Below are 9,866 nucleotides of genomic sequence, written 5' to 3'. Positions count from 1 at the left end.
ATTTTCATCTAATCAGGAACATTCTGAAATTACCATATTGTTTTCCATTAGAAACCCCATCAGCCCCTAAATCAGATAACCAGGCTGGAGGCTGCCAGGGCCCCTCTGTCCTGGGGCGGGTGCGTGCTGTGCTGTGAGGACACAAAGGGACTCTCTGCTCCTGCCATGATCCCTTGTTAAGTTCAGGAGATTGCTCGTGGCTCTTAGCAGGGCTCCTGGGCCTTGGCCGGGCCTGGGGAGGGGTCCCCCAGGCAAAGGGCAAATGAGGAGCCCAGGAGGCCTGCAGAGCAGGTTGGGATGGATCAGAACCTGCCTGGGAGCTTCTTGACAGTTCGGCAGGAAAGAAGGAGAGGTCAGGCTCCTTATCTTGAGCCCCCAGTCCCACCCCTGCCTAGGCAGCCTCACAGGGACCAGAGGACGGGACTCATCAGGTCCAAGCCCACAGCCAGGGACAAAGGAGGGCGACCCGAGATCGAGGATCTGAGGAAAGGCTAAAGGCCACCCATGTGAGGTGTGGCCAGAGGGTGCTGAGAATGCACAAAATCCTCTACAAAGCTCATTTCCAATCTCTGAAGCTCCCTGAAGGCTTAAGCTGAGGGGTGTCAAGACCTCAACAAGGTGGGGGCCATGGAGGGGAAAACAAGAGCATCCCAGGGCCAGAGTGCCCTCAGAGAAACGTCACTGCCACTCTCCAAGGTCTCCTCCTGGAGGGCACACTCAGGCCCTCACAGCAGGGGTAGGGACTGTGGCCAGCTGCAGCTGGAGTCCAGGACAGGACCCGAGCCCTTTCTGAGGCCATCCCAGGGCTGAGCATCACATGCTGCATCTCTTCACACACTGAGATAGAGCCAAGTGCATGCCTAAGAAAAGTCAGTGAATATTTTTTTTTTTTTTTTGAGACAGGGTCTCACTCTGTCACCCAGGCTGGAGTGCAGTGGTGCAGTCTTGGCTCACTGCAACCTCCACCTCCTGGGCTCAAGCGATCGTCTTGCCTCAGCCTCTTGAGTAGCTGGGACTACAGGCACGCACCACCATGCCTGGCTAATTTTTTGTATTTTGTGGAGACAGAGTCTCACTATGTTGCTCAGCCTGGTCCCAAACTCTTGAACTCAAGCAATCTGCCCATCTCGGCCTCCCATAGCACTGGGATTACAGGTGTGAGCCACTGCCTGGCCAACAGTGATCTTTAAGAAGTGCCTGGTAATAGAGTCAGAATCTCTGTCTGTTGGTTCGTTTGTCCCAATTCTATTTCTCGGTCACTGTGGCTTTCTTTCACTCTTGTTTCTATCTCCCATTCTCTCTCTCTCTTCCTTCCTCCCCCTCCTTGTCCTCCCTCCCCTCCCTGCCACGCTTCAGGCCCTCAAGAAGCCAAAACCCCTAACCAGAACCCAGTAGGGGCAACCTCCACCCACCCACTTGGGTTCCACCTGGCTCTGCTCCTCCCAGCGCCAAAACAGGAGTGTCAGCTGCCAGAGAGGGATCCGAGACCCTCCACAACACTCCCGCCACTGTCCCAGAACCAAGAGAACACAACCAGGCCACCAGGTGTTGTCATCCAGTCAAAGCAGAGTGAAGAAGGAAAAGGAGGGGTGGAGCAGAATGGCAAGGAGGAGGAGGGTGGTTGTCACATGGTAGAGAAAAGTGTGTGAGTGTGAGGGCAGAAATGGGAGTGAAGGTGGGGAAGGGTCCAGGAAGGATATAATCCCAGAATGGAGGGGTGGCCAGCCTGAGGGTTCTGCCAAGCCCCAGAGTCACTGGGTGTCCTTTGGAAGGGATGAGCTAACTGTTCTCCTAGTCTCTGGGCCCCAGAGTTCAGTAGAAGGCCAAGCACACAGAAAGCCCAGGAAACATTTGCTAAACAAAAAATGACTCAGAGAACGATAGGCAGAGATACTGGCAGGGGTCCCTTATAAGCACACGGGGGAAAGGGAGCTCTGAACAGCAGCTCATATCCACAAGGCAGGGAAAGCCACTACCAGGTAATGTTCTGGAGAGCAGGGTTATGGCCTTTAGCCCTGGGGCAAATGCTGTCTGCCCCCACTTCCCTGCTGGATTTGGGACTCTGAGCCCACAGAAAAGGAGCATGGCCAGAAAAGGTCACGGCTCACAGATGGATCCGTTCACTCATTATGCAAAGATGTCTCGACGGCATGCTCTGTGCGAAGCTCCTGGGTGAGGCCCACTTGCTTCCCTGTGCTTTCGGATGTGGGATGTGCATGGAGGTGGTGGGTGCCAGTGTATGCAGGGGTGGCATGGGTGCACTTATAGACGAGTGGGATGGGATAGAAGAGCATGTGTGGGGAGGGCCTGAGTGTGCTTTCAGGCATAAATGGGGACTGCTGAGTGATGACAGGGCAGCTGGGAGGGGCCCCTAGCCAGGAGGCTCGGGCCCACTCAGCAGATAGTCAAGGGTAGGAGTATTTTCTCCTAGAGCCCTCCCCCTACATTTTCAGGACACCCACAGCTTCTAGGGGGCCACCCATACTCCACCAAGCCCATGTCAACCAGTTGACTTTAACAGCCCACCTTACCACATGTGAATCTCTGGTTTCATCCAGAATCAGAAGTTACCAAGAGGTGCTTTAATGTATTTGGCTTGGTAAATACTTCCCACAGCTTCCTCCGGCTTTTCTGCCCGTGATTTCCAAGTTAATGCCTGTGAGCACACCACTGGGCACACAGTGGCATTCTTCTACTGGCCCACACTGCTGGACCAACTTCTTCCTGATTTTCACCCCCTGTCCCAAGCTGAGACAGGTCTCCCAGTTCCCCTGGTCATTTGAAAGTACTGACTTCCCTTGTTTCTGGACCACAAGTCTATGGCAAAATTCCAGTCCTAAATTGCTCTCCCCAGCCCCAGCTCTACTTCCCTGCTGCTCCCCCAAATGCACCAGCCCCCGGGGACCCAGCAGGGGTGGGCGGAGAAGATCCACTTTGGTTCACTATCGGCTATTTCCAGAAGAAGTATTGGGTAGCACTAGGCTACCCAGTTCCCTGCCTCAGCCTGGCTGGGACCCAGCCAGCGCGTTGGGACGCCCCTGCCGTGGCTGGCTGAAGCTTGTTGTCTAACCCGGCCTGGGGGTACCTGGGAGCGGGTGGAGGGTGGCCTGGCAGGGCTCAGAGAGCAGGCACACCCTGGGTGAGTTCATGCCTGCCTCACACCTCTGGTATTCCCGCTGATCCCTATCTCCTCCCCCAGCCCTCAGGTTCCTGGGGCGGAGATGCAGGCAAAAGAGGTACTGATACTACGGTCTGGCCCCAGCCAAGAGAGGGGCTGCAGCTGAGCCTCTACCTGCCCGTCCTCTGCTCCCACCGCCATCCCCACCCCATCTCCTGCCTCCGCACCGGCAGACAGACAAGGCTGGCCGCCCCATAGGAGAGACCGCCCCCCCCTCCGCCATGTACTGACCCCTCCTGGGAAAGACCCTCCCTCCCATTCCTCCCCAAGGAAGCCGGGCAAGGCAGAGGGGCCCTGAAAGGCAGGTTTCCAAAGGGCTTCCCCTTGGAAGACACCCCGTCCCCTCCCACACTCCACCCTCTCAGCCTCCTCACCTCTACCTCAACCGAACTTTCATCATTTCGGTAACCATTATTAGTAGGGAGCCATATGGCTTATCATGCAAACTTTTGAGAATGAAAGGATGATTCTTGGAAACTGACTGTCACAGGCAAACTGGATACATGGGTGCCCTGATTATTGAGCCCCCTCTGAGCGCTGGACTCCCAAGAAGGCATGTGGGCATTTTGATGAGCTCAGGCTCTGAGAGGGCCCGCGTCTTTGGCCTGGGGCTCTCAGGAACCAGAGAAGTATCCAGCCCTGGATCCCTGTACTGAACAGAATGAGGGGTGGGGAGAGGCTCTGCAGGGACCAGAAAGGAGAGGATAAATGCCAGCAATTCTCGGTAGAGTTCTGTATGTTTCTTGTTCCCTTTATTAGCCCCATCCCTGGCCTAGCCCAAGAGTCAGGAAAATCAAGACCCTAAGACAATGACAGGGCAGACTCTCGAGGGACATGATCTTCCCAGGTGACTAAGCTGTCCTCTCCCCTTCCATCCCACCTTCCCTCCCCAACACCCCCGCCTCCACTCCCTTTTCCCCCTGTCTGCCTCCTTCATATGCTACAATCATACCAGTGGTTCTCAAAGTGTAGGCCCCAGGTTGGCCGCATCAGCCTCACCTGGGAACTCGTTAGAAAAGCACATTCTTAGACACCACCCCAGACCTACTGAATCAGAAATTCTGCAACAGAATCACCCCAGAGGGTTTGTTAAAACACGTTCTGTTGCCTGCTTATGTGGAGAAGCACCGCTCTACTCTTCTCAAGCTTTAATGGATGTACAGATCACCTGGGGATCCTATTCAAATACAGATTGTGGGATGAAAATGCAGATTATGACTCAAGAGGCCTGGCACAGGGCCTGGCATTCTGCATTTCTCTGAAGCTCCCAGGTGGGCTGATGCTGCGAGTCCTCAGACCACACTTAGAATAGCCAGGCTTGAGTACACCCCTGGTTCTCAACCCCAGTGGCACTTTACAGTCGCCTGGGGAGCCTTGAAAAAATGCTGGTACCTGGGCCCTGGCTCCAGAGGTCCTGATTTCATTGATCTGAGGGGAGACTGGAGCATGGGTAGATTTTACAGCTTCCCCAGGTGAATCCAACACACAGCTGATGTCCTCCGCCTAGCGTGATGAGTGGACGTGCTTGGCACCCCTACACCCCACGCACCCACTCACCCTCTGGGATCCCCCTTCTCCCTTCACTCTTCCTTATCTGCTTCCACATCTCCTTCCCCACATCGGCAGACACTTTGACATGCATAAACACAAGCACATGGACATAGAGAAAGGTATCTAGGCAGCTGTAGACTCAGACACACAAAAATGAAAGCAGGTGGACAGTAGGCATGCAGGCATGAGTGTGTACACACGGGCTGTACACATGCGGACCAACCCATTTGTCAATGTGCTGTGAACACTCTTAGATTTATACAGCTAGATGGGCACACGCAAGTGTACACACAAAACATGCAAGAGTACATGCCAGCCTCAAAGGAGCCAAAGACCTCCTCCATCTGTCTCCAGTGGGGTGACTCTTGGTCTCATTGCACCAGATGATGGGGCCCGTGGGCCCAGCAGTCCTGTCTGTCCCTCAAGAGATAGGTCAGCCCTCAGGAAACCAGAAGTCTGGGCTTGGCTCTCTTTTCTCATTTAGCACCACGGAGGTACTCTAGGCTGGGTGCGGTCCTCCCCGGGAGGTGTTAGTTTCCTATGGCAGCCAACTCAGCCTCAAGGTCTCCGAGGGGCCTTGGAGACATGCCTGTCCCCTAGTGTCCAGGTCAGCCATGGAGGGGCACTGCCGCCAGGAGGCTGCCCCTTTCTGGGAGCTGTGGGTGTCCTCTGTCCCTCAGTTCATCACAGTACTGCTCTGTTGGAGCCTCCTTTGGGTTTAAAATCCGGCACCCCCCACCCCGCGTGCGGGCTGGGACCCTCCATGAACAGGGCTGATGGATGACTCAGGGGGACTGCGGCTGCTGCAGGCCTATTTTATGATGTCATTAGGCAGCTTCGGCAGCGGGAAGGAATCCCTCTTGACATCATAAAGGACTTGATATTTCGCTAATGTTATCTTGGCGGCATGTCGCCCTGACATTTTCTCTTTGCAGCGCTCCCCCCAGGACCAGGAGTTGTCTAACTACAGCCTGGAAAAAATGCAAAACAGACAAATGCACCCTCGGGGGACAGCGGGAGAAAGCTAATAGACCAGTCCCCAGCTCCCCACCCACAGAGGTGGTTTAGGTGGGAAGCATGATGTGTTTGTCAAAGGAGACCCGGGGCTGCCTTCCCACTGCCAGCTCTCCCTACTCCAGACACAGCAGGATGAGTCAGTGCTGAGGTTCCAGAACCCGCCCTGCTACCCTGAGGCTATGTGACTTAGGCAAAGCCCTTGCCCTCTCTAGGCCTCAGTGACCCCATCCACGCTCCCACACAGGGGATTTGGACTGGACAATTTCAAAGGCTCTTGGGTGATGTCGAAGGCCTTCAAGCTGCCAGGGAGGGTGACGGTGCCACAGAGGAAAGAAGGAGGGATCCCCTCCTAGGCTCAGAACTGAAAGCCTGCACAGCTGTTGCGGGAGGATGGGTGATATGGTTTACAATCCATCCCCTTCCCCAGGAATGGTTTTGGAAGACAGACAGAGGAGCAAGGTGTTTCCCTACCCTGAAGCCATTGTCTTCCAAAGAACAAGATCAATTACTGGTTCTGAGGCAAATTGGAGATGGCACTGGGGTAAATTTGTTGCTATGGGCCTGGCGGGTGGAAGCCTGCACAAAGTAACCATTCTCTCATTCCCAGGGCTGCCGGCGTGGCTCAGGGTTTGGCAAAAGAGAAAGTTCCTACAGCCCTGCGTACCTCCTAGATTCACCACCAAAAGTAGCTCAGGAAAAATCAAAATCCTCTCCCACCTGGGCAGAAATCACCCACCCCAGCCTGACCCCAGAATCCCTGACAGATGGGCCTCCAGCTCACCACCTCCAGAGATGGGGTGCTCAACCCTTCCCCCAGGCAGCCCAGCCATCTGCCTCCAAGTGGCATCCTCCTAGGGTTCCAAACTCTGCCTCTCAGACATTTATCTCCACCCCCAGGACAGCCCTGCAAAAATATGCACAAACACCTCCCCCAACCCCACCCTCCAGTGTGCAGGAGGAGAAGCCAAGGTTTGTGCTCTGTTTTCACAGAGTGGAATATTTGTCCTCGAAAAGAGTGTAACTGGCCATTTTAACCTGGGATCTATGGTTAGAACCGTAACCATTCCTTTGTAATCCTATGTATCTCATTTTATGCATTTAAAAACACTATTTGGGTTTGGGCATGGTGACTCACACCTGTAATCCCAGCACTTTGGGAGGCCGAGGCAGGAGGATCACTTGAGGCCAAAAGTTCAAGACCAGTGTGGCAACATGGTGAGACCCCATCTCTACAAAAAAAAAAAAAAAAATTGTTTTAATTAGCTGAAAGTGATGGCACGCACCTTTAGCCTTAGCTATTTGGAAGGCTGAGGTGGAAGGATCACTTGAGGCCAGAAGTTAGAGGCTGCAGTGAGCTATGATCATGCCACTGCACTCCAGCCTGAGCAACAGAGTGAGACCCTGTCTCTAAAAAAAAATAATAATAAAGAATAAAACACTACTCTAGAAGACTGCTAAAGAAGTTCATGGCATTTAAAAAAAAAAAAAAGTAAAGAACCCTGTTCTAAAATCCAGACAAAGCCATATTTAGCCATGAATGTGTCCAGACTAGGGAGATCATTATGACCTGGGTTCATCTCTAGCTCTGGAGAAACCCTTGTGCCAATCTTGGAAGAAACTACTTTTAAAATAAAGGTAGATTACAAAACATTGTTTAAAAAAAGAAAAGGAAAGAAAAATAAAATAAAGGAATTAGGTTGGTGCAAAAGTAATTGCAGTTTTACCAAAGTTAATGGCAAGACTGCAATTATTTTTGCAACAACCAAATAGATTAGACCATTTTCCCAGCCAAACCCCCCAACCCCTGTCTTCTCCAAGGCCTGTTCTGAGGTCTGATCTGCACCATCAGAGGTGCCTAGACCACCCAATTCCTAGACTCCTGGCCTGAGCTGAACAGGCCACACAGCGGACGTCAAGGGCACCTGCGAGGGCCAGGCACCATTGTAAGCACTACAGGGGCAGGCAAACATGGAGCAGACTCAATCCTGGCTTCAGGAGGTTCTCGCAGGTAAGTAGACACGTTCCAGCCACAACTCGCTGCCTGTCCCTCCCCAGCCAGTGCACCAAGAGCCTCCTACATGCTCGGCTCTGCCCGCGCTGCTCCCTGGGCCTGCAGTGCCCGGCCCGTGCTCTTCTGGTAGCTAATCCTCCCCCAACTTTCCAGCACCAGCTAAAATACCTACCTTAGTACAAGTTTATTCCGCGTTCTGGTGCCCTTACCTCCACAGAGAAGCCTGGCTGAGTGTGAGCCTCCTGGAAGGCCCGCCTTAGCCTCGGATATGCTTGCAGCCACGGGGCAGGGAGCTCACAGAGAGGCTTCCAGGGAGCAGGATCCCTGATGCCTGGCTGGCCCACGAGAACACACTGTTGACTCTCCCGCTGAGTTGGGAACCAGCACATGGTACTTCCTCCTGAGCTGGTTGCCCCAAGCGGAAGGACCATGGGGTTTCCTCCCAAGGGCCCCCACTGCCTCCCTAACAAAGTAATGCTGAAATAATGCCCTTTCAGAATTGCAGAATTCTCACCTCTGATTGCCCAAGTTGGAAGATAGCTGCTCCTATGTTTTGGCACCCTCCAAAATGATGAGCAATTCATTCATTCAACAAATATTTATTGAGCGCCCATGACTTGCCAGGCACTGTTCCAGATGTTGAAAACAAAGACAAAACATCCCTGCTCTCAAGGAGCTCACATTCTCTCAGGGAGAGACAAGCAACATAGAAAATCAGTCAGCAAAAAAATATATATACTGGATGGTGACAAGTGCCACAGATAAAAATAGGTCAGAAAGAACAGGGTCTTCCTTATGGAGAAGGGGACACTTGGGTAAAGACCTGAAGGGGGTGATGGAGGGAGGCATGAGGATATCTGGGGGAAGAGCATTCCAGCAAAGGGCATGGCGTGTGCAAAGGCCCTGAGGCAGGAGAGTGCCCGACATGTTCAGGAACAGCCAGGAGGGCAGTGGGGCTGGAGGGAAGTGCAATGGGGGAGAATAGTAAAGACAGGGATGGGGGCCCTGGGGTGAGGGATGATTGACCATGTGAGGCCTTGAGCCTGCTATGATGACCTTGGTTTTTACTCCCAATGAGATACGCACCACTGCAGGCTCTGAGCAGACAAGTGATGTGCTACGACTTAAATGCTAATTAACAGGATCACTGTGACTGCTGCGTAGAGAATAGACCACTGGGCATGGACCTCTACTATAGCAGTGTCTGTGGAAGGAGTGGTTGGACTCTGGCTGTATTCTGAAGGTGAAATGATAGACACAAGGCACTGCTTCTGGCCTTGTGCACCATTTTCTTTCTTTCTTTTTTTTTTTCCTTTTTTTGAGACAGAGTCTTGCTCTGTCACCCAGGCTGGAGTGCAATGGTGCAATGTCAGCTTACTGCAACCTCCACCTCCTGGGTTCAAGCGATTCTCCTGCCTCAGCCTTCTAAGTAGCTGGGATTACAGGCACCTGCCACTACGCCCAGCTAATTTTTGTATTTTTAGTAGAGACAGGGTTTCGCCTGTAATCCCAGCACTTTGGGAGGCCGAGGCGGGCAGATCACCTGAGGTCAGGAGTTCAAGACCAGCCTGACTTTTTTTTTTTTTTTTAAGATGGAGTCTCACTCTGTTGCCCAGGCTGGAATGCAGTGATACAGTCTTGGCTCACTACAACCTCTGCCTCCTGTGTTCAAGCAATTCTCGTGCCTCGGCCTCCTGAGTAGCTGGGACTACAGGCACCCACCACCATGCCCAGCTAATTTTTGTATTTTTAGTAGAGACAGGGTTTCACCATGTTGGCCAGGCTGGTCTCGAACTCCTCCTGCCTCGGCCTCCCAAAGTGCTGGGATTGCAGGCATGAGCCACTGGGCCTGGCCCCTGTGTGCCCTTTTCTATCAGCCTCACAATCACGCCATGAAGTAGGGTCTTTCTCCCCATTACACAGATAAGGAAACTGAGCTTCAGAAAGCCCATAAGTGGAAGATTCAACCCAGGCTTATCAAGGCCGAAGCCAAGTTCCTCCCATTCTACTGCACCACATGCCTGGTCAGGATTCCACAGACCCCAAGAGAGGGGAAAAAAGTCAAGATACTTACCAGCTGAGAACTTCATGCTAATTTGGAATTGTCCA

At 53.0% G+C, this 9,866-nt stretch overlaps 2 annotated features.

Moving 5' to 3' along the window:
• Positions 323–823: an enhancer, noted in NCBI's record as "H3K4me1 hESC enhancer chr1:38594298-38594798 (GRCh37/hg19 assembly coordinates)". NCBI's record gives its function as "activates a minimal SCP1, AML or CMV promoter by ChIP-STARR-seq in naive H9 embryonic stem cells {active_cell/tissue: H9 hESC(naive)}" and the evidence as "EXISTENCE:reporter gene assay evidence [ECO:0000049][PMID:30033119]".
• Positions 4,824–5,005: a silencer, noted in NCBI's record as "fragment chr1:38590116-38590297 (GRCh37/hg19 assembly coordinates)". NCBI's record gives its function as "represses an EF-1alpha promoter that drives an FKBP-Casp9 reporter gene in an ReSE screen in K562 erythroleukemia cells {active_cell/tissue: K562}" and the evidence as "EXISTENCE:reporter gene assay evidence [ECO:0000049][PMID:32094911]".

Source organism: Homo sapiens, chromosome 1 (genome assembly GCF_000001405.40).
Source record: "Homo sapiens chromosome 1, GRCh38.p14 Primary Assembly".
NCBI lineage: Eukaryota > Metazoa > Chordata > Mammalia > Primates > Hominidae > Homo > Homo sapiens.
Note: the sequence above shows the minus strand (reverse complement) of the source record. Positions and strands in the feature narration are given on the sequence as shown.